The sequence below is a fragment of the Homo sapiens genome, chromosome 9 (genome assembly GCF_000001405.40).
Source record: "Homo sapiens chromosome 9, GRCh38.p14 Primary Assembly".
NCBI lineage: Eukaryota > Metazoa > Chordata > Mammalia > Primates > Hominidae > Homo > Homo sapiens.
In genome coordinates this window covers 137,241,287-137,262,187 of record NC_000009.12, presented here as the reverse complement: position 1 = coordinate 137,262,187, position 20,901 = coordinate 137,241,287, and the positions used below count along the sequence as shown (strand labels likewise).

Here is a 20,901-nt window from a genome sequence, read left to right as displayed (position 1 = left end):
GACCTGCCCGCAGTTATCCAGAGGCCTAACCGTCTCCCTGTGATGCTGTGCTTCAGTGGTCACGCTCCTTGTCCGCCTTCATGTTCCATCCTGTACACCTGGCTCTGCCTTCTAGATAGCAGTAGTCAATTAGTGAAAGTACTAAAAGTCTCTGATACGCAGAAATAACGGCGTAAGCTGTTTCTCTCTCTCCTCTCTCTCTCTCTCTGCCTAGGCTGCCAGGCAGGGAAGGGCCCCCTGTCAAGCGGACACGTGAACCACGTGACCTTACCTATCATTGGAGATGGCTCACACTCTTTACCCTGCCTCTTTGTCTTGTATCCAATAAATATCAGCGCAGCCTGACATTCGGGGCCACTACCAGTCTCCGCGTCTTGGTGGTAATGGTCCCCCGGGCCCAGCTGTCTTTTCATTTCTTTGCCTTGTGTCTTTACTTCTACAATCTCTCATCTCCGCACACGGGGAGAAAAACCCATCAACCCTGTGGGGCTGGTCCCTACACCCAATCAATTTTTTTTTTTTTTTTTTTTGAGACGGAGTCTTGCGCTGTCACCCAGGCTGGAGTGCAATGGCAAGATCTTGGTTCACTGCAACCTCCACCTCCCGGATTCAAGCTATTCTCCTGTCTCAGCTTCCCAAGTAGTTGGGATTACAGGCGCCGGCTGCCATGACTGGCTAATTTTTTGTATTGTAGTAGAGACGGGGTTTCACCATGTTGCCCGGGCTGGTCTTGAACTTCTGAGCTCAGGTGATCCACCCACCTCGGCCTCCCAAAGTGCTAGGATTGCAGGCATGAGCCACACACCTGACCCAGTTTTTTTTTTTTTTTACTTTTTTTTTTTTTTTTTGAAACCGAGTCGTGCTCTGTTACCCAGGCTGGAGTGCAGTGGCGTGATCTCAGCTCACTGCAAGCTCCACCTCCCAGGTTCACACCATTCTCCTGCCTCGGCCTCCCGAGCAGCTGGGACTACAGGCACCCACCACCACGCCCAGCTAATTTTTTGTATTTTTAGTAGATGCGGTTTCACCATGTTAGCCAGGATGGTCTCGATCTCCTGACCTCATGATCCACCCGCCTCGGCCTCCCAAAGTGCTGGGATTACAGGCGTGAGTCACTGCGCCCAGCTTTTTTTTTTGCGACTGAGTCTCACTCTGTCGCCTAGTACAGTGGCGCAATCTTGGCTAACTGCAACCTCCACCTCCCGGGTTCAAGTGATTCTCCTGCCTCAGCCTCCTGAGTAGCTGGGACTACAGGCGCACACCACCAGGTCTGGTTAATTTTTGTATTTTTAGTAGAGATGGGTTTTTACCATGTTGGTCAGGCTGGTCTCGAACTCCTGACCTCGTGATCCACCCACCTCTGCCTCCCAAAGTGCTGGGATTACAGGCGTGAGCCACCGCACCCGGCCTAATTTAGCTTTTTAAAAGAGAATCGGGCTGGGCACGGTGGCTCACACCTGTAATTGCAGCAAATTGGGAGCCCAAGGTGGGTGGACTACCTGAGGCCAGGAGTTCGAGAACAGCCTGGCCAACATGGTGAAACCCCATCTCTACTAAAAATACAAAAATTAGTCGGGCGTGGTGGTGGGTGCCTGTAATCCCAGCTACTCGGGAGGTTGAGGCAGGAGAATCACTTGAACCTGGGAGACTGAGGTTGCAGTGAGCTGAGATCACACCACTGCACTCCAGCCTGGGCAACAGAAGGACACTACGTCTCAAAAAAAAAAAAATAAAACAAACTAAAATAAAATAAAACAAAATATAAAATTAAAATAAAATAAATAAAAAAAATTTTAAAAAATAAATTTTAAAAATTAAAAAAAATAATAAAATAAAATAGCCGGTCTCAGTGGCTCACGCCCGTAATCCCAGCACTTTGGGAGGCCGAGGCGGGTGGATCATGAGGTCAGGAGATCGAGACCATCCTGGCTAACATGGTGAAACCCCATCTCTACTAAAAATACAAAAAACATAGCTGGGCGTGGTGGTGGGCGCCTGTAGTCCCAGCCACTCGGGAGGCTGAGGCAGGAGAACGGAGTGAACCCGGGAGGCGGAGCTTGCAGTGAGCCGAGATTGCACCACTGCACTCCAGCCTGGGCAACAGAGCAAGATTCTGTCTCAAAAATAAAATAAAATAAAATAAATAAAAATAAAAATAGGCCAGGCACGGTGGCTCACGCCCATAATCCCAACACTTTGGGAGGCTGAGGCAGGTGGATCACAAGGTCAGGAGATTGAGACCATCCTGGCTAACACTGTGAAACCCCGTCTCTACTAAAAAAAAAAATACAAAAAATTAGCCGGGCATGGTGGCAGGCGCCTGTAGTCCCAGCTACTTGGGAGGCTGAGGCAGGAGAATGGAGTGAACCCGGGAGGCGGAGCTTGCAGTGAGCCAAGATCGTGCCACTGCACTCCAGCCTGGGTGACAGAGCAAGACTCTGTCTCCAAAAAAATAAATAAATAAATAATAAAAAAATAAAAAATAAATTTTAAAAAGTAGTAAAATAAAACAAGATAAAAATATATAAAATAAAATAAAATAAAAATAAAAGAGAATCAACCTAGGACTAAGCCGACCAAGCCGACTGATTTCCCTTACAGACAGAAATCAGTATAGGCAGCACCAAGTCACCAGAAGAGACAGGCGATAGGAGAAAGGCCTGGGAAATGCAGGGCACCCCACAGTTAGCAGAGGGGTCCAAGGGCTCTGTCTGACAGCAATGGAACAAGAAAAAGGCCCATGGAGGACCTAACTGGGAATAAACAAACAGGGAAGGGAGGACAGAGGTGGCACTGCCACCCCCAACAAGCCTGCTGCTGCCCACGCACATGGTCAGGAACCACGGCCCGAAGGGAACCCAGAGCCACACTAACTGCTCAGCGTTTGAAGTGCAGTAGTTCAGATGGGCTCTAAGCATGAAAGACTCACCAGGTTTCAAATCTTAGTGATCCTCCCGCAAAAAGCATTATAGCTCAATATTTTTTTTTTCCTTTTGAGACAGGATCTCTCACTCTGTCGCCCAGGTTGGAGTGCAGTGGCTCAATCATACCTCACTGCAGCCTCAATATCCGAGGCCTAAGCAATCCTCCTGCTTCAGCCTCCTGAGTAGTTGAGACAACAGGTACGCACCACCATGCTTAGCTTAATTTTTTTTTCTTGTAGAGACAAGGTCTCCCTTTGGTCTTTAACTACTAAGCTCAAGCGATCCTCCCACCTCCGCCTCCCAAAGTACTAGGAGTACAGGCGTGAGCCACCGTACCCAGCCCAATCTTTCACATGAATTACATGCTGAAAGATAATATTTTGGATATACTGGACCAAAGAAAACATTAATGAAGTTGATCTCATTTTTTTTTCTTAATGTGGATGCTGAAAAATCTTAACTTATAGTTCGCTTTTTCCACTGAACAGTGCTAGTTTAAAGTTGGTTAGGGCCGGGCGCAGTGGCTCACACTTGTAATCCCAGCACTTTGGGAGGCCAAGGTGGGCGGATTACCTGAGGTCAGGAGTTCAAGACCAGCCTGGTCAACATGGTGAAACCCTGTCTGTACTAAACAAAAAAATAAAAAAATTAGCCAGGCATGGTGGGGCGCGCCTGTAGTCTCAGCTACTCGAGAGGCCGAGGCAGGAGAATTGCTTGAACTCAGGAGGCAGAGGTTACAGTGAGCCGAGATTGAGGCCCTGCACTCCAGTCTGGGTGACAGAGCAAGACTCTGTCTCAAAAAAAAAAAAAAAAATTGGCTAATTAAAAAATCTCACAACCAGTTGTGGTCGCTCACACCTATAATCCCAGCACTTCAGGAGGCTGAGGTGTGCAGACAGATTACTTGAGCCCAGGAGTTCGAGACCAGCCTGGGCAACACAGCGAAACACCAACTCTGCAAAAAGTATACAAATTAGCCAGGCATGGTGTCACACACCGGTGGTCCCAGCTGCTTAGGAGACTGAGGTAGGAGGATTGCTTGAGTCCAGGAGGTCGAGGCTGCAGTGAGCCACGATCACACCACTGTACTCCAACCTGGGTGACAGAGTGAGACCCTGTCTCAAAAAAAAAAAAAAAAAAAAAAACCCCAACAAATCTCGGCTAGGCATGGTGCCTCATGTCTGTAATCCCAGCACTTTAGAAGGCTGATGTGGGAGGATCGCTTCAGCCCAGGAGTTCAAGACCAGCCTGAGCAACATAGCCAGACCCCACCTCTACAAAAATATATATATATTTTTAAGTAGCCCCAGTGTGGTGGCACGTGCCTGTGGTCCCAGCTACTCAGGAAGATCACTTTAGCTCAGGAAGTCAAAGCTGCAGCGAGTCGTGATCACGCCACTGCACTCCAGCCTGTGCAACAGAGTGAGACCCTGTCTCTTAAAAAAGAAAAAAAAAGAAAAAAAGCCAGGCACGGTGGCTCACCCCTGTAATCCCAGCACTTTGGGAGGCCGAGGGGGGCGGATCACCTGAGGTCAGGAGTTCAAGACCAGCCTGACCAACATGGAGAAATCCCATCTCTACTAAAAATACAAAATTAGCCGGGCGTGGTGATGCATGCCTGTAATCCCAGCTACTCGGGAGGCTGAGGCAGGAGAATTGCTTGAACCTGGGAGGCGGAGGTCGCAGTGAGCCGAGATCACGCCATTGCACTCCAGCCTGGGCAACAATAGCGAAACTCCGTCTCAAAAAAAAAAAAAAAGAAAAAGAAAAAAAATTAGCCAGGCATGGTGGCGGGCGCCTGTAGTCCCAGCTACTCGGGAGACTGAGGCAGGAGAATGGAGTGAACCCGGGAGCTTGCAGTGAGCCGAGATCACACCACTGCACTCCAGCCTGGGCAACAGAGCGAGACTCCGTCTCAAAGAAAAAGAAAAAAAGTAGGGGAGGGGGGATTAACTTCACATGAGCGGGCTTTCCGCAGATTTTAAATGTTGTCCATATATCACTTTAACGAAAAGTAAAATGCAAACAGAAAAACAACCAACTTTCTTTCCAGCATGTGTACAAGCCAGCCCTCCCCCACCACCCAGCCAAGAAGCAGAACCACCCGATCATTCACAGGGCAGCAGAGTGCTGATCCCCAGGCAGCTGAAGGCGCTAGCCGTGGCATCCCCAAGAGGTGCCCCACCCCGCACACGGCCTGTCCCCTCACCTCGCCCTGGCGCCTGGTCTTGGGGGAAGGACTGAAAAAGTTGTGCAGGACAGAGAGCTCTGTACTGAAGAGAGCGCTCTCCTTCTCCAGGATGTACTGCTTCAGGAGTGGGGAAACCTCGTCCCCGAAGAGGGCCTGGTTGTCTTGCCAGATCTGCCGCTTCACCTCCACGGCGCAGGCTCGATACAGCTCCTTGTCAGCCATAACCAGCTTCAGTTTTTTCTCCGGAACCTACATGACACCACAGGCTGCCTGTGAGTGGCACCTGTGTCCCTGGGTCTCCTTCAAGACAAGCCAAGAGGCCTCAGCCCCGCAGAGACCACCTCGAGCTAAGCTCCACCCCACAGGGCACCTATGACTGGTTCCCCGGCCCCAGCATGTCAGACAGACATGCTAAATACCAACAGCTCTTTCCCAGGAGGGGCCCCACACCCTAACTCCAGTGCTAAGGTTCGGTCTCCACGCGGCTCATGTGGGAGAAGTCAGCACAGAGCTCACCATGGACAGCACTTGGGCAGGCAGCACAGGAAGCTCCCGGAGCTAGGCGGCCACCGGAACTTCCACTAACCAAGGGCATGAGAGTGGGCGGACGGTCCACGCCATCAGGGTTAGGGTTAGGGCCCTACCTTGGGCAGGTGCTTCATGACGCACATCACCACGGGCTGCAGGGACGGCATCTTCACCAGAGAAAAGCTCTTCTCCAGAAGGTCTTCCAGCTTCTTGTACCTGGAACAACTCACAGGATTGATGGTGCAGCGATGCGCCAAATCGCAGCAGCTACCTGCCTGTCCCTACACAGATAACAGCTACCAGGACAAGCCTCCACGCCCAGGACACATGGGTCAAGGGGTCACTCAGACACAGGCCCAGGCCACCTCTGGGAGCAAGGATGTGGAGCCAAAAGGACAATAAATGCCCCTGAGTCGATCCAAGGCTGAGAGGCCGGCTGCACATCTCACCTGCCCACCCCTCCCGCTGACCCACCTTTCCTCAGCCTTCCCCTCCGAAGCGATGGCTGACACTCGCTCCAGCAGCTTGTCCCGCAGCTCATCGAATACCGACTGGTGGAACTCCAGCCGCGGCGTCCCGTGCAGGTCCAAGAAGGGGAGGGCTGACTGAAGAGATGGCAGCAGCACACCATTCTCTGTCTGAGGAAGCCAAGAGAAACCTCAAACGCAGCCCAGTGCGCCCGGGCACCCCGAGGTCCTGAGAGCACAGGGAGGCACGCACCCAGGTGTTCCCAGCCGTGCTGGCGGTAACCGCAGCCACCGAAAGCCACCCAGCCGTCCAGCAAAGGGGTGCTGGCTCCGGACTCCACCCCCAGAACAGGACTCAGCCACCAGCAGAAAGCCGGAAAACTTCCGGCGCCTCCGCCAGGCCCGACTCCCGAGCAGGCGGCCCGGCCCTCCAACTGGGCTCCCCCCGCCCCGGGGGCCGCCCCACCTGGAACTGCTCGATGGCCTTGAGCGGCTCCGTGCAGTTGGTCAGGGTCTCCTTCAGGTCCTCGCCGTTGGCCACGCCCAGGTCCTGCAGCCCCGCGAACATGGCCGAGGCCCCGGCCACCGCCCGGCTAGGCGCCCCATCCCCAGCCCGTTCCCCCGGCGCCGCCGCAGACACCCCAGAAGCCCGCTCCGCCGGGCCTCGGGGACCGCCCGAGCCCCGCTCCCCGGCGCCCTCCAGCTCGGCCAGGTCCCGCCCGCCGCGCGACTCCGCGCGCGTCCCGCAGCCGCCCACTTCCGCCCCGCACCGCCCAGGTCCGCCCGCCAACCGGCCCCCGGGAAACGCCGCCGGGGCCGCGCGCAGGTTCCTGGGAGCAGCGCCCTCACCCGGCGCGAGAGACCCCGCCCAGCCAGCCCAGCGCGCATGCGCCCACCCGGTCCCGCCCGCGCCCGGGCTTTCTGGCAGAAGAGGGCGGGTGAGGGCGTGGGGGGCGGACTCAGGGTCCGTCTGCTCCGGGAACGGACGTCGTCGCAGCCGAGTGAATTTCGTGTACATAAGCGTGGAAAACGCTCTTGCAGATCTCGCGGCAGCCACGCGCAGCGGGGACGTTTTGCCGGGGGTTGAGCTCCCCGCCCCTCTGCCCCGCAGGGGCCGGACACAGGCGCAGACTCCCTCCTGAGCGTGGGTTCCTCCGCGTGAAACGGGCACGAAGCCCACCCCGGCGCTGTCGCCAAAACTGAGATCTGAGCGCCTTCAGGGGGCCGGGGCCTGGCGGAGACCGGGCCCGCAGCGGGAGCGCGAGCGACGGCCGCCCTCCCAGGCACCGGGAGGCTGTGGCGCCCACCGAGCTCCGCGGAGCCGTGAAGGAGAGTCCAGGTTCCACAGTGTCCCTTCTTATCCCAGGCGGGTGGGCTCCCCGGGCCTCCCCGCCTCTCCAGCCCGCCGCCCTCCCGCAGGCTGTGCCGCGCCAAGCCCCCTACACACACCCTCTCTCTTTTCGGTCTCCGCTGCTGAAATTTTCTCTAGAAATTTCTTTCCCGCTGCCCAGCAAACTCTTGCTCTTCCTTGAAGGCTTCTTCCTCCACCACCTCCTCCAGGAAGCCCTCCCTCCTCAGCCCAGCTGGAGGAGATCGCTCCATCTTTCCTGCCGCTCCCACTCCTAGCTTTGGGTCTCACCAGGGGTGCCTGGTGGTGCAGCCGTGAGCAGAGCTCCTGTTCCCACAAGCCGGGCCGAGCTCCCAAGGCCATGGCTACCACAGCTCTCTTGCCGCTGGCCAAGTTGGTCAGCCCTAGGGCGAGGGTTCCAGTGCCTTGATCCAACCCCCAGCTGGTTCGGTGGCAGAGGAGGACAAGGGTCACAGCACACACACAATCCTGAGCCTGGGATTCCTCTCTGAGAAAGGGGGTGGTGCTGAGGCCACAGAAGCAGCTGCCCAGAGCCTTTTTGAAGGGGTTGAGCTCTGGGCCTGGTCTGGGTCCTGGGTCTGGGGAGGACCTGGGGAGGTGCGGGTGACGGCACCGCAGGTAAGGCTCCTGCAAGGTGGCAGCCTTGGGGCCCGACCCTGGGTAGGAGGGCAGGCCAGTGATGACAAGGGAGGCCCCAGCCAGGCGAAGTTGCAGGCAGGGGCAGTGCAGGGTCCCAGCAGGTGAAGGCCCCGGGAGTGGAGTCTGCAGGGCCCTGGGCCAGAGTGTTCAGGGCACAGGTGACTAAGCCCAGCCAGGTCTTCAGCTCAAGGCCTAGGGGAAGTGGGGCTGGGCCCTGGTGAGCAGATCCCTGGGCCCTTCCTGAGGTCTGGCCAGGCCGACCCCACCTGGAGGTGGCGGCTCAGGGCATTTGACGCCTCCTTCCCAGTTCCCTGGCTCGGCAAGCAGCTGACCCTCAGGTGGACAGCAGCTAGACCAGGCCCCTGAGTGACACGGCTGGGTGGGGGTGTCCCACAGAGCCCACCTCCCATCTCGCTCCAGGCTAGAGCTCAGGGTCAGTCACAGGCTGCCACCCTAGAGAAGAGAGCACCTTTCAGGGGCAGCTGAATGGAGACCCCTCAACAGGGAAAGCCGGAAATGACCCAGCGGCAGCCATATCTCTAGGACCGCCCCCGGGTGAAGGACAGACAACTGCACACCACAGAGCTCGGGAAAACCAACAGCATCTCAGTGTAGCGGGGAGATGGGCAGATGGGGGATCCAGGCTGGGCCAGCCTTGTCCACAGCCCATAGAAGGGTTGGCCAGCCAGAAGGGTGCATCGGGGTGCCCAGAGGGTCAGAAGGCCAGGCTGGGGCCCCAAGTCCCAGGGGAGGCCTGGGAAAGCCCCGGGGGAGGCCATGGTTCCACTCGGTGGCCGGGCCAAGCAGGTTGTGCCCAGCTGGCTCTAGAGCGTGCAGAAGGGGCCTGTGTCGTGGCGCTTGGGTCTGCGTACACCCTGGATGACCACGCCAGGCGCCGAAGGGAAGCGTGAGTTGCAGTCCTCCACGTGGTAGGCGGCTGGGCCAGGGGTTCGGGCTGCCGAAAGAGAAGGCTGGGAGCCCCACCCAGGTAGCAGCCCCAACTCAAACCTGGCTCCCAGTTCCCACCCCCGGCCCCTGAACCCTTGTCCTCACATTGCCCACCCATGCCCCATCCCTAGCCCTCTTCTCTCCAGGCCTCCTTACAGGTGCTGAGCCAGGAGGTGAACGCAGGGGAGCGGCTCATCGAGAAGGCCGGCGAGCGGGGGCTCTGCAGGCGGCTCCCAGGAAGGATATTGTAGGTGTTGGGGCCAGGGCATCTCTTGCCAGGTGCCTGCAAAGAGGCCTGAAGCAGGGACTGGGGCTGCACCCTGAGGCCCAGCCCCCTAGCCCCAGGCAGCCCTAGGTGGGTGTGGCCTTCAGGTGTCTTGGAAGCGGAGTGGCAGCCTCTGAAGCTGAAGGCGGGGAAGGCGGGCCGGCTGAGCAGCTGGTAGTGGGCTGGCGAGGGCCACTGCGAGGGGGTAGGAGACGGGCTGCAGGGCAGGGTGCTCCCCACGGACCCTCAGCCAGCCCCCCTTTGGCCCCACTGGAACCCCCAGCCCCCTGCCTGCGTGGACTCCCCGCCCCCTTCCTGCCCAGCCCCCAACCTTTTGCTCTTGGTCGAAGTCAGCTTTCTGCGTGAAGGGGCTTTCGCTCTGGAACCACAAAGTCTGCCATGCCCTGCGGCCACCGCCCTCTGTAGTTGGAGGATGGAGAGAGAGAAGGCTGGGAGCCCCACCCAGGTGACAGTCCCCACTCGAACCTGTCTCCCGGTTCCCACCCTCGGCCCCTGAACCCTTGTCTTCACAATGTCCACCCATGCCCCAGCCCTAGCCCTCCTCTCTCCAGGCCTCCTTACAGGTGCTGAGCCTAGAGGTGAACGCAGGGAAGGGTGGAGGGGCCCTCAGGCCGTGGGGGTTTCAGCACAGAGGCAAAGGCCCCCATTCCCAGGGTGAGGGACAGGCCCGGTGGTTGGGCCTCAGGGAGGGGACACACACCTCGGCCCTGGTGCTTGCAGCCGATGCTGTAGTGGGGGTGTGGGGAGGACTCTCGTACGGACGGGCTCGGCACCTGGTACCTGGTGGGGCTGGGGACTTCCAGGTCAGCTGTGATCAGGGGGCGTTGCTCCAGCACTGGCCACAGGAAGCAAGCTCTGGGCCTGGGCTCCTTTCAGCGGGCCCCTCCCACAGCCCCCCAAAGACCAGCTTGGGGGTGGGGTGGCCAGGACCCTCACTCACATAGTTCCCTCAGGGTCTGGGTGTAGGTGGGCAGGGACTCCTGGGGGGTGCCCGTCTGTAACCTGAGGCCAACTGGGATCTCCTTCATCTTTGGGGGCTGTGTCTCATCCCAGGCCATCCCCGGCTCCGGGCCCAACAACAGCACAGATGCCTTGGGCCTGCAAGGGAGACCAGCAGCCACTGTCTCAGCCCCCGGCCGCTCCCAGCCACATGCCCCACAGCCTGTCCCCTCTATTGTCCCTCAGCCCCCGGCTGCTCCCAGCCACGTGCCCCACAGCCTGTCCCCACACTGTCCCTCAGCCCCTGGCCGCTCCCAGCCGCCTGTCCCCTCTACTGTCCCTCAGCCCCTGGCCGCTCCCAGCCGCCTGCCCCACAGCCTGTCCCCACACTGTCCCTCAGTCCCCCAGCCGCCTGCCCAGCAACCTGCCCCCCACACTGTCCCTCAGCCCCCTGGCCACTCCCAGCTGGCCCGCCCCTTCTCCCCCTCTCCGCCAGTTACTGGGTGGGCTCTGGTTGTGTCTGCCTCAGGTGACCATGGGTCCAGTGTTTGCCTCCATTGATGTAAAAATTTGCCAGGAATTTCACTGCCTTCTGGTCAGAATTCATCATCAGAGTCTCCTGGCTCTCTTCCCCAACGGCACCACGGAGCTCTGTGACCTCACTGGTAGGCCCCTCTGTTGCTGGGACTCCTGAGGAAGACACATTGTCTGGCCCTGGAGGGGCTGCCCCGGGCCCCGACCCCTGGTGGGCCCCTCCCCCACTAACTAGATGATCAGCGGGTCCGCCTGGGCCAGGACCCCCAGCCTGCCCCGGTGACTCCTGGCCCAGCCCTCTCCCTCCCCGCAACCTTTCCAGCCTTCTCCCCTCTCCTGCACCCTGGGGTCTCCTGGGAGTCTGGGGTCCACTCTAGCAGGTCTGGGAGGACTGAGGCCTCAGCAGAGGGGGTGGAGGGAACAGGACCCACCGGCATCCACCAAGCCCTAGGAGATGCCCAGCTGTGTCTGGCCAGCCAGGACCCCCTGGGGGTAGGAGGGAGGGGCCCAGGAAGGCTCCCTGGAGGAAGAGGAGGAGCCGCCACCCCATCTGGATTTCCACTTAAGGGAAAAGCAAATCCACATCAGATGGGTCTGACACCAGAGGCAGGCCGGGCCTTGGAGCCCAGCCAGGGCTGGGGTGTGAGGGCCTACCTCTCACCTGGGGGCACAGAGGCTAGAGGGTGTCACAGATGGCCGGGCTGCCAGAGCTGCAAAGGAACAGCCAGCCTGTGTGAGCAAGAGCCCGTGTGGGCACCAGGGCCCTCACTGTGTGGTCTCTGGAGCTGACCACCAGTTGGTCCCAGCCCTGACCTTGGCCCAGAATCCACCAGGGCAGGGCCTGTGAACAGGGCCAACTTGGGGCCCTCCTCCGCCCTCTCTGGATGCCTCCCCTTCAGCACTGGGCCTGCCAGGCAGACAGATGGACACGTGCTTGAGGAAACACGGGTTTTATCTGGGCGAGGGGTTCACGCCTGTGCTCCGGGGCCCCTGCCCAGGTTGTGCCGGGTTCAGAGTTGACTGGCTGCCAGTGGAACAGAGTGTACTTTGCTAATGAAGCCCTTGTCATTGGACAGATAGGCTCCTCCAGGTCCTCCCTGCCCTGTAATAAACGTTGCCACCGTGAATGGTGCTGCTGGACATCCATCCTCTCCTTGAGAAGGTGCGTGGGGGAAATGCTCTCTCAGTGTCCGGCTCTGCGCCCACACCACCACAGCCGTCACAGAAGGAGGCCTCTGCCCAAATGTTGAGGGAGGGGGGTTGTTCCCCACACACCAAGCTGGGTGTCCTCTAATTCATTTCCTTCACCATTTACCTGGAGATGGTGTCAGATCCCACAGGGTGAGAGCTCCATCCCAAGAAGGCCTCCAGACACAGATAGGGGCAGGGCCTCCAGACACACACCAGTCGCAAGCCTGGGCCCCTGGAACTTCTGACCAACTAGCTTCAATTTGGGGTTCCTGTGACACCGTCTTTGGGTTAATTTGCTGGAGCCACTCATAGAACTAGGGAAGTTATGACGTTTACTGGTTTATTGTAAAGGGTATTGATTGCAAAGGATACCAATGAAGAAGCGTAGAGAGAGGCACGGGGAGGGGCTGGCGCTTCCATGTCCTCGCTAGTTGCCGCCCTCTGGGAACCTCCAGGTGTTCCCCTGTCCAGAAGTTCCCTGAGCCTCAGTCCTCTTGGGATTTTACGGAAGCTTCCTGATGTCAGCATTCCTGCCCCCAGGGCTTAGGTGGGACCTCTCCTGGAAGGGTCTTAAGACCCACAGTCAGAAAGGTGAGAATGTTAGCGTCCTGCCTTGGGGCAGGTGAAAGGAGGGCAGGAGGTAAAAGTCCCCCGCCCGCACCCCCCAAGCATCACCCACCCAACATTCTAACAAAAGGCCCTACCAAGGGCTATGGGAATATGGGAATTACCAGCCAGGAACGGTGGAGGAAAACCAGCGTCTACCAGAATGCCAGACAGCTTCTTAGGAGTGGAAGCAATGGTCCCAGTTTGCAGTGTCTTGTATGGACGTGATCCATACCAACTTGGTTTCCAGAAGGCACCACCCAAATTAGAGGCCCTTCTCACTGTGACCCTGCCGGCAGTAAGCCTCAGAAACTGCTCTCAACACACAGTCAGCATGTATGTGATTATGGTCCTGCTTTATGCCCTTATATTTACGGACTGCGGTCTTTTTTTCTTAAAAAGGTCATATTGGCCGGGCACAGTGGCTCACGCCTGTAATCCCAGCACTTTGGGAGGCCGAGGTGGGCGGATCACGAGGTCAGGAGTTCGAGACCATCCTGGCTAACATGGTGAAACCCTGTCTCTACTAAAAATACAAAAAAAAAAACCATATTAGTCTGCATTTTCCATGGAGGTGTTGTTTATATCTTTGTTTTGTGAGAGCTTTTTATGCTGATACCAGATTTGTTCATAGCACTTACTGCAAACTTTTTTCCAGTTTTTTAGTTTGCCTTTTAGTTGTTTTTTTGTTTGTTTGTGAGAAATGGTCTGGTTCTGTTGCCCAGGCTGAAGTGCAGCGGTGCGATCTCAGCTCACTACAGCCTCAACCTCCTAGGCTCTGGCCATCCTCCCACCTCAGCCTCCCAAGTAACTGGGATCACAGGCACATTCACCATGCCTGGCTAATTTTTCTTTCTTTTTTGTAGAGGTGGGGTTTCCCCATGTTGCCCAGCTGGCCTGAACTCCTAGGCTCAAGCAATCTGCACACCTCATCCTGCCTCGGCCTCCGAAAGCACCGCAATTATAGGCATGAGCCACAGTGCCCAGCCTTTCTTCTTTCTTTCTTTTTTTTTTTTTTTTTTTGAGACAGAGTCTCACTCTGTGGCCCAGGCTGGAGTGCAGTGGCACGATCTCAGCTCATTGCAATCTCCACCTCCTGGGTTCACGCCATTCTCCTGCCTCAGCCTCCCGAGTAGCTGGGACTACAGGCGCACGCCACCGCACCTGGCTAATTTTTGTATTTTTAGTAGAGACGGGATTTGACTATGTCAGTCAGGCTGGTCTCGAACTCCTGACATGATCTGCCTGCCTCGGCCTCCCAAAGTGCTGGGATTACAGGTGTGAGCCACCGTGCCTGGCCGCCTTCCTTCATTTTTATGGTTAGGAAGTCCTTCCTGTACAAAAAAAGAACAAAATTCAGGATTTGCTTAAAATGTAAACATAACACCCTGCGCCACATGAAGGGCTGGAGGGAGAGTTCGCACAGCCCTGCAGGCCGGGAAGCCCCTGACTCGAGCCAAGGCTCTGCAGCTGCAAGGCCTCCTGTCAGAGGAGGGGGCCTGGGGACTCCCTTAGCCTCACCCTGAGACTGGGGCTGGTGGCCTCCTGGGGGCAGCAAGAGCCCAGGCCCTTTCTGGAGGGACAGTCCTGTTTTCTGAGCTCTGAAGTTAATGGGACTTCCTCCCGGACCACCTGCCTCACCGCAACTCCTCCCCTGCCTGGCACCTGTCTGGGCCTCAGTGTCTCACCTGTGCAATGTGGGCCCTCACAGGGTTAGCGAGGTGGCCTGGCCCAGGAGGTGCCCACAATGCTGGCCCCTCACAATGGTTGCCCGGTGACAGGACTCCCCTCAGGGAAGGGAGCTGGATGCCGGGAGGGACTGGAGCCAGCAAGGCCAGAGTGAAAGCAAAATGACAACTACTCAGAAACACGATCTCTTCACGCCGGAGCCTCACTATGTCCCTGGGTGAGAGCCGGGAGCTCTGGAGGTGGCTGGGGCCAGGGCTGCAGGAGGGGGAGAATGGCTGGGGCCTGAGGCATGGAGGCCAGCTGTGAGGGGCCCAGAGCTGGACCCCAGGAAACTGAAGGCCACACCACGGGGCACTGCAGTCTGTGGGCTGGGGAGCCCTGGGACAGGGGAAGCTCAGGGATGGGGTTGCCAGGGGCCCAGGCCTCACCCTCCCTGCTGGTGTGCAGCTGCGAACTCGATACCTGGTGGCCAGCACGTCTGTCGAGCAGAAACTGGGTCAGCCAGCAGCCGGCAGAGGCCGGCTAGTAAGTGCCCGACGCCCACTCCAGAGAGGACTCCACACTTCATTTCATTTTATTTATTTATTTTTTGAGACAGAGTTTCGCTCTTATTACCCAGGCTGGAATGCAATGGTGCAATCTTGGCTTACCGCAACCTCTGCCTCCCAGGTTCAAGCGATTCTCCTGTCTCAGCTTCCGGAGTAGCTGGGATTACAGGCATCTGCCACCACACCTGGCTAATTTTGTATTTTTAGTAGGGACGAGGTTTCTTTATGTTGGTCAGGCTGGTCTCGAACTCCTGACCTCAAGTGATCTGCCCACCTCGGCCTCCCAAAGTGCTGGGATGACAGGCTTAAGCCACCACGCCCGGCCAGGACTCCACACTTTAAAGACAAGGCAAGCAAACGCCAGGCTGCCTCACTAGATATCCCCCCAAACAAAAAATAAAAGTAACCCCTCTACGGAACGTGTGTGTGTGTGCACCTACATACACACACGCTACATGCAAAGGGGAAAGGCTGGGAAGAAACCACACCTGCCTCTGAACAGCTACGTCTGGGGAAGGGGCAGGTGAAGCTGAGGCTGGAAGTTGCTCGGCTTTTTTTTTTCTTTTGAGACGGAGTCTCGCTCTGTTGCCCAGGCTGGAGTGCAGTGGGGCGATCTTGGCTCACTGCAAGCTCCGCCTCCTGGGTTCACGCCATTCTCCTGCCTCAGCCTCCCGAGCAGCTGGGACTACAGGGCCCGCCACCAATGCCTGGATAACTTTTTGCATTTTTAATAGAGACAGGGTTTCACCATGTTGGCCAGGATGGTCTTGATCTCCTGACCTCGTGATCCGCCCGCCTCAGCCTCCCAAAGTGCTGGGATGACAGGCGTGAGCCACCGCGCCCGGCCCTTTGGCAGTTTTTAAGACGAAGGTAGTTCTCACTCCTTGAAAGATCACATAGACCCTGAGGCGCTGAACCGCCTGTGACCACCTGCACCATGCCCCTCGAGGTTGAATGAGGGCCCGGAAAAGCCCAGCCCTCCACCTGCCTCCCAGTTCTCTTCCCGTGCAGGAGGCTACTGGCCTCCTGGGGTGGCACAGGTGCAGGCCAAGCCCACGCAACACCCTCCTGGTGGGCCCTGCGTGTGTCCAAGGGTCCGTCCCTCGCCTATGTCCTGGCCCACACGTCTTGTGCCTGTACTTGCTTTGCCAGGGCAGAGCACCCCTGATTTGCTGGCAGTTGGAATGAGGGGTGGGAGAGGGTTGGAGGGGCTGGTACAAGGCAGGCGGCCATCTGCTGTGGTGCTGACGTGTTCCCAGCATGTGGTGTGTGCCGCCTGTTCAGGCTGAGAGAGCTCTAGAAGGCAAGTGCCACTGCAGCCCCATTTACAGGTGAGCAGAGGGCAGGCGAGCTGCCACAGGCCAACCTGCTGCTAAGTGGCCAGCAGGCTGAATCCACATCTGGCTTGAAGGGGCCCTGCCCAGTGCTGGGGCTGCCCTTGAGACCTGCCCTGCCTTCTTCTCTTCCCTCCACAGCTATGCCGGCTTCTTTCCGCAGCTGCGCTACCAGGTGGGGAACACCTATGGGCGTACCACGGGGCAGCTGCTCACAGACCCCAGTGTGCAGAAGAGCCCCTGCTCTGTGCTGTCCCCCATGTCCAAACCCAAGTTCATTGAGGACTTCAGCCAGTCCAAGCCCCCGAGGGTTCCCTGCCAAGACCTGACGGAGCCCTACATCCCCCACTACACCAGTGAGCTGCCAGTCCCCAGCCCTGCACCCTCCTGTGCCCGCCTGCCTGTCCCGGCACTCACAGGCTGCCCTGTTGGTACAGGTCTGAAGCCCTCTAAGAACTTTGAGATTCTGGGCCAGCTCCCACCCTTGGAGGTGGACGCCCAGGAGCCGCCAGGGGTAGAGAACATACCCAGACAGATTCTGCTGCCTGCAGGCTTCACGCCCGACACCCCGCACCCTCCGTGCCCACCAGGCAGGAAGGGAGACTCCAGAGACTTGGGACACCCAGTATACGGGGAAGAGGCCTGGAAGAGCGCCACTCCTGTTTGCGAGGCCCCCAGGCAGCACCAGGCAGCCAGGGGATGCACCAGTGCCAAGCCCATTCCGCTCAGCCCCAGGTGGGAGCTGCACCGTGACCTCCGCTTCCTCCCCGCTCCAGCTGTACCACTGCCAGAGGGATGAGTACCCACCCCCCGCCCGCCGCCAGCAGGAGACGCTAGATGTGGGCAGCTTCCAGCGGCTGCCGCAGCTGGACCACCCTAACCTAATCCAACGCAAGGCCATCTCAGGTGGGTGTGGGCCTGGGCTGGGCTGGAGAAGGCCGCCCCTCCCCACAAGGTTCTTGCAGTGTGAGAGCCCCTGAGGAGGCTGCCACAGGGGCCCACTTTTCCTGCTCCAGAACAGGCTAGCGGCCTGGGGGGACCTCCTCTGCCTCCCAGCTGCTTCCAGGAGCCCAGCTTTTCCCAAGACGAGGCGGTGCCTTGCCTGCCTGTTCCCATTTGGCCACATCAGACAGTCGCCAACGTTCAGGGAACGAAAGGGAGCCTTGCCTGGCTTCCCTGACACGTCTGAGGGCAGGTGGGTGTGCCCAGGGGAAGGCTAAGGGGGCTTGGGGTAGCCCGTACATCTGCCTACCCCCAGGCTATGCTGGCTTCATTCCCCGTTTCACCTGGGTAATGGGGTTGAATTACCGAGACGGCGTCATGCAAGCCATGGACGAATTCGACAAGAGCCAGGTAGGAAAGCGCCATCCAGGGCCTGCTCCCAGCTCACACACACACTTCCTCTCCTGCCTGGCAGCTTCCCTGGAGGGTGCCTTGAAGGCCAGGTTCCCTGAGAAGCCTGAGGAGGGGGCTCTGCCTGGCTCTCTCCTGTCCCCGGAGGTGCCGCCCCAACCCCTCTCTCCTGAGTCTTGCTTGGATCCCTGCACTCAAGTTTTGGAGTCGGGGGTAGGGGGATGCAGAAGGCTGGGAGCATTAGCAGCTTTCCCACGGAGTGCCGGCCCTCCGGCCAGGCCCCCACTGGGACAACTTGACTATCTGTTTGCCTGCCGGGGAGGGAGCTTGTTAGCACCTTCCTGTCTCCCCAGTTCCTGTTTAGAAACCCCCACTGTGACCTGGGCGAGAAGCTGCCTGGAACACACTGGCCCAGCAACCACATCTACAGCAGCCAAGGCCTGATCCCCTTCTACATGGGGTTCATCCCCGGTGAGTAGAGTGGGCAGGGTCACATGGACACACCCCGGCCAATGTGGGGAGGGACGGCTCTACCTGCTCACCCTTCATTGCTGGTTCAGGACCACCTGTCTGACCATTACCAGGGTCCCACCTTGGTTGGGGTAGGATTGTCTGCCATCCTCCCTACCCCTTTTGGAAGGGGGGTCACTGGACCCACCTAAGTCCCAGACACAGGCCGAGCCCCAAGGTTGGGTACCTGGAACAGGACAGGCCTGCCTTCAACAAGCAAGTTCCCCACCAAGCAGATACCCAGGGCCCAGGGCAGCCCCACACTTCTCTGAAGCCTGGGTGTCCAGCCCATGCTGGTCCTGGGCACATAAGCCCAGCTCAGCTGCAGCCTGGCTCCCCGCAGCCATGCAGGACAACTACGCCCTGACATTCGGCAACAGCACCCGGAGGGCCTACTGGAAGGAATGGGCAAAGCGAAACCACACACTATGAAAATGCTTTAATGGTGGTGTCTGTACAGCATGGATGTGGACAGGGAAAACAGCAAGTGCACACAGTGGGACAGGCCACAGGACAGGCTGGGAGTGAATAAAGAGTTCACACTGCTTCCCTGCTTTCCCCAGTGACTGAAGGCTCTAGGCCACCTCCTCCTCAGCCTCCTCCTCGAACTCGCCCTCCTCCTCGGCTGTGGCATCCTGGTACTGCTGGTACTCGGACACCAGGTCATTCATGTTGCTCTCGGCCTCGGTGAACTCCATCTCGTCCATGCCCTCGCCCGTGTACCAGTGCAGGAAGGCCTTGCGCCGGAACATGGCCGTGAACTGCTCGGAGATGCGCTTGAACAGCTCCTGGATGGCCGTGCTGTTGCCAATGAAGGTGGCGGACATTTTTAGCCCCCGAGGTGGGATGTCACAGACAGCCGTTTTCACATTGTTGGGGATCCACTCAACAAAATAGCTGCTGTTTTTGTTTTGGACATTAAGCATTTGCTCATCCACCTCCTTCATGGACATGCGGCCCCTGAACACGGCGGCAACCGTCAGGTAGCGGCCATGGCGGGGGTCGCAGGCAGCCATCATGTTCTTGGCATCAAACATCTGCTGGGTGAGCTCGGGCACGGTCAGCGCCCGGTACTGCTGGCTGCCCCGGCTGGTCAGTGGGGCAAAGCCGGGCATGAAGAAGTGCAGCCGGGGAAACGGGACCATGTTCACAGCCAGCTTCCGCAGGTCAGCATTGAGCTGGCCTGGGAAGCGCAGGCAGGTGGTGACCCCACTCATGGTAGCAGACACCAGGTGGTTCAGGTCACCATAGGTGGGCGTGGTCAGCTTTAGGGTTCTGAAGCAAATGTCGTAGAGAGCTTCGTTATCAATGCAGTAGGTCTCGTCTGTGTTTTCTACGAGCTGGTGGACTGAGAGGGTGGCGTTGTAGGGCTCCACCACTGTGTCTGACACTTTGGGCGAAGGCACCACACTAAACGTGTTCATGATCCTGTCTGGGTACTCCTCCCGGATCTTGCTGATGAGGAGGGTACCCATCCCAGACCCAGTCCCCCCACCCAGGGAGTGGGTCAGCTGGAAACCCTGCAGGCAGTCACAGCTCTCAGCCTCCTTTCTCACAACATCCAGCACCGAGTCCACCAGCTCCGCGCCTTCTGTGTAGTGCCCCTTGGCCCAGTTGTTCCCAGCACCACTCTGACCTGTGAGAGAACACAGCTAATCATTTGTCAGCCAGGTAGACAGCACTACTGGTCACCGCCATGCGAAAAAAGCCGAGTGACATGGTGTGAGCTGACCACAGAATTCACCCTGGAGGTAGAGCAAACGGACCCTTCAAAGCCAAAAGACGGCAGCCTGCCCTGCTACGAATTAAGTCAGGGGCCAAACCTGACAGCTTAACAAACCCCTCCCCGGGGGGGCCACTGCCAATTCCCAAGGACAGAGGAACAGCCACTGCCCCAGCTCAGCTCCCTGCAGGGAGATTACGTGTGTGGCGGCTCCTCGCCTCGGCAGACAGCTGGACCTTGCTCCCAAAGCCGATTTAGTAGAGGGGATTGAGTGGCTCAGAGAAGAGGAGGGCGTCCAGGGGCCCCGGCTGCGCAGTTCCCACGGCGGTGCCCTTGGAGCAGCCCCTTGACCTTTGAGCCGCCGCCCAGTCCCCAGCCACGGCTCACCGAAAACGAAGTTGTCCGGCCGGAAGATCTGCCCGAAGGGCCCCGAGCGCACGGAGTCCATGGTGCCGGGCTCCAGATCCACGAGCACGGCGCGGGGCACGTACTTGCCGCCTGCGGGGACGGGAGGGCGTCAGCCAAGGCAGGGGCCGCGGGGTCCCCGGAGGGCGGTCGGGGAAGGGGCCGGGGCCTCACCGGTGGCCTCATTGTAGTACACGTTGATGCGTTCCAGCTGCAGGTCGCTGTCCCCGTGGTAGGTGCCCGTGGGGTCGATGCCGTGCTCATCGCTGATCACCTCCCAAAACTACAAGGGACGCGGGCGGGCCCGGGCGGGCCGGGGCTGAGTCACCGCGGCCGGTGCGCAGGGAGGCAGCCCCGCCCCGGACGGGCGCGGCAGCCCGGCCCTCCCCGCCCCTCCCCCGCCCCGCGCGCCCTGGCCGCCGGGTTCCTGGGGGCTTCGGTCGCCCGGCTCGGCCAATTCCCCGCGGAGGGGGCCCGGCGGCCGCAATGCGGGGGCGCCGCCCGGCCGCTGCTGCCGCCATCTTCCCCGGCCGCCCGCCCACACCGCCCGGCAGGCCCGCCTGGCCCCAGCGCCCCGGCAACTTACCTTGGCGCCGATTTGGTTGCCGCACTGCCCGGCCTGCAAGTGCACGATTTCCCTCATGATGGCGGCGGCGGCGGCGGGGAAGCAGGAGGAAGTAGACAAACAGCAGCAGAAGAGCGGGCGCGCAGAGTGCT

The 20,901-nt window shown here is 58.8% G+C and overlaps 4 protein-coding genes and 2 long non-coding RNA genes across 17 annotated transcripts in view, besides 10 other annotated features; 2 read left to right on the top strand and 4 right to left on the bottom strand.

Moving 5' to 3' along the window:
* The window catches only part of NELFB (negative elongation factor complex member B), an 18,216-nt gene extending 11,355 nt beyond the window's left edge, over positions 1-6,861 (bottom strand). Inside the window, exons 1-4 of the mRNA NM_015456.5 lie at positions 6,577-6,861; positions 6,118-6,281; positions 5,760-5,859; positions 5,134-5,364 (exon numbers count right to left, since the gene is read on the bottom strand). Coding sequence (NP_056271.3) covers positions 5,134-5,364; positions 5,760-5,859; positions 6,118-6,281; positions 6,577-6,822 — 741 coding nt within the window. The 5' untranslated portion in view covers positions 6,823-6,861. The remainder of the gene's footprint in view (positions 1-5,133; positions 5,365-5,759; positions 5,860-6,117; positions 6,282-6,576) is intronic.
* Positions 5,558-6,505: an enhancer, noted in NCBI's record as "H3K27ac-H3K4me1 hESC enhancer chr9:140150135-140151082 (GRCh37/hg19 assembly coordinates)". NCBI's record gives its function as "activates a minimal SCP1, AML or CMV promoter by ChIP-STARR-seq in naive H9 embryonic stem cells {active_cell/tissue: H9 hESC(naive)}" and the evidence as "EXISTENCE:reporter gene assay evidence [ECO:0000049][PMID:30033119]".
* Positions 5,558-6,523: a biological region, named in NCBI's record as "H3K27ac-H3K4me1 hESC enhancer GRCh37_chr9:140150135-140151082".
* Positions 6,464-6,523: a silencer, noted in NCBI's record as "silent region_20603". NCBI's record gives its function as "represses an Ori minimal core promoter by ATAC-STARR-seq in GM12878 lymphoblastoid cells {active_cell/tissue: GM12878}" and the evidence as "EXISTENCE:reporter gene assay evidence [ECO:0000049][PMID:35858748]".
* Positions 6,506-7,453: an enhancer, noted in NCBI's record as "H3K27ac-H3K4me1 hESC enhancer chr9:140149187-140150134 (GRCh37/hg19 assembly coordinates)". NCBI's record gives its function as "activates a minimal SCP1, AML or CMV promoter by ChIP-STARR-seq in naive H9 embryonic stem cells {active_cell/tissue: H9 hESC(naive)}" and the evidence as "EXISTENCE:reporter gene assay evidence [ECO:0000049][PMID:30033119]".
* Positions 6,506-7,493: a biological region, named in NCBI's record as "H3K27ac-H3K4me1 hESC enhancer GRCh37_chr9:140149187-140150134".
* Positions 6,564-6,743: a silencer, noted in NCBI's record as "silent region_20602". NCBI's record gives its function as "represses an Ori minimal core promoter by ATAC-STARR-seq in GM12878 lymphoblastoid cells {active_cell/tissue: GM12878}" and the evidence as "EXISTENCE:reporter gene assay evidence [ECO:0000049][PMID:35858748]".
* Positions 6,754-7,123: a silencer, noted in NCBI's record as "silent region_20601". NCBI's record gives its function as "represses an Ori minimal core promoter by ATAC-STARR-seq in GM12878 lymphoblastoid cells {active_cell/tissue: GM12878}" and the evidence as "EXISTENCE:reporter gene assay evidence [ECO:0000049][PMID:35858748]".
* On the top strand, positions 7,066-18,589 carry CIMIP2A (ciliary microtubule inner protein 2A). 7 transcript variants are annotated; one of them, XM_047423396.1, is made up of 9 exons: positions 7,066-10,006; positions 10,406-11,987; positions 14,404-14,528; positions 16,335-16,549; positions 16,631-16,881; positions 16,970-17,099; positions 17,452-17,546; positions 17,900-18,017; positions 18,400-18,589. In XM_047423396.1, exons 2-9 carry the CDS (start codon positions 11,952-11,954, stop codon positions 18,486-18,488), a joined length of 1,059 nt encoding a protein of 352 aa, XP_047279352.1. In that variant the 5' UTR covers positions 7,066-10,006; positions 10,406-11,951; the 3' UTR covers positions 18,489-18,589. The 7 variants fall into 7 exon arrangements, with proteins under 7 accessions (XP_047279352.1, XP_047279355.1, XP_047279354.1 ...); XM_047423399.1 differs by having other exon boundaries at positions 7,066-10,956; positions 11,906-11,987; XM_047423398.1 differs by having other exon boundaries at positions 7,066-10,956; positions 11,902-11,987.
* Positions 7,314-7,493: a silencer, noted in NCBI's record as "silent region_20600". NCBI's record gives its function as "represses an Ori minimal core promoter by ATAC-STARR-seq in GM12878 lymphoblastoid cells {active_cell/tissue: GM12878}" and the evidence as "EXISTENCE:reporter gene assay evidence [ECO:0000049][PMID:35858748]".
* Positions 8,691-11,969, top strand: STPG3-AS1 (STPG3 antisense RNA 1). Its single transcript, NR_038389.1, has 4 exons — positions 8,691-9,025; positions 9,213-9,313; positions 9,682-9,797; positions 10,821-11,969. It is a non-coding gene; the product is annotated as an STPG3 antisense RNA 1 (long non-coding RNA).
* Positions 8,705-10,902, bottom strand: STPG3 (sperm-tail PG-rich repeat containing 3). Of its 6 annotated transcripts, none has more exons than NR_046340.2 (6): positions 10,792-10,902; positions 10,293-10,450; positions 10,133-10,187; positions 9,663-9,751; positions 9,223-9,349; positions 8,705-9,089 (listed from the first exon to the last, which is right to left on the bottom strand). NR_046340.2 is itself a non-coding variant. In NM_001256699.2 (6 exons), exons 1-6 carry the CDS (start codon positions 10,899-10,901, stop codon positions 8,725-8,727), a joined length of 1,161 nt encoding a protein of 386 aa, NP_001243628.1. In that variant the 5' UTR covers position 10,902; the 3' UTR covers positions 8,705-8,724. The 6 variants fall into 6 exon arrangements, 4 of the variants coding, with proteins under 4 accessions (NP_001243628.1, NP_001004353.2, NP_001243629.1 ...); NM_001256699.2 differs by having other exon boundaries at positions 9,223-9,526; positions 10,053-10,187; NM_001004353.4 differs by having other exon boundaries at positions 8,705-9,073; positions 9,223-9,526; positions 10,053-10,187.
* Positions 12,340-13,078, bottom strand: LOC124902316 (uncharacterized). The gene is made up of 2 exons (XR_007061882.1): positions 12,748-13,078; positions 12,340-12,585 (listed from the first exon to the last, which is right to left on the bottom strand). It is a non-coding gene; the product is annotated as an uncharacterized LOC124902316 (long non-coding RNA).
* Positions 15,826-16,619: an enhancer, noted in NCBI's record as "H3K27ac-H3K4me1 hESC enhancer chr9:140140021-140140814 (GRCh37/hg19 assembly coordinates)". NCBI's record gives its function as "activates a minimal SCP1, AML or CMV promoter by ChIP-STARR-seq in primed H9 embryonic stem cells {active_cell/tissue: H9 hESC(primed)}" and the evidence as "EXISTENCE:reporter gene assay evidence [ECO:0000049][PMID:30033119]".
* Positions 18,481-20,901, bottom strand: TUBB4B (tubulin beta 4B class IVb). Its single transcript, NM_006088.6, has 4 exons — positions 20,771-20,901; positions 20,359-20,467; positions 20,167-20,277; positions 18,481-19,692 (listed from the first exon to the last, which is right to left on the bottom strand). Exons 1-4 carry the CDS (start codon positions 20,825-20,827, stop codon positions 18,632-18,634), a joined length of 1,338 nt encoding a protein of 445 aa, NP_006079.1. The 5' UTR covers positions 20,828-20,901; the 3' UTR covers positions 18,481-18,631.
* Positions 20,497-20,726: a silencer, noted in NCBI's record as "silent region_20599". NCBI's record gives its function as "represses an Ori minimal core promoter by ATAC-STARR-seq in GM12878 lymphoblastoid cells {active_cell/tissue: GM12878}" and the evidence as "EXISTENCE:reporter gene assay evidence [ECO:0000049][PMID:35858748]".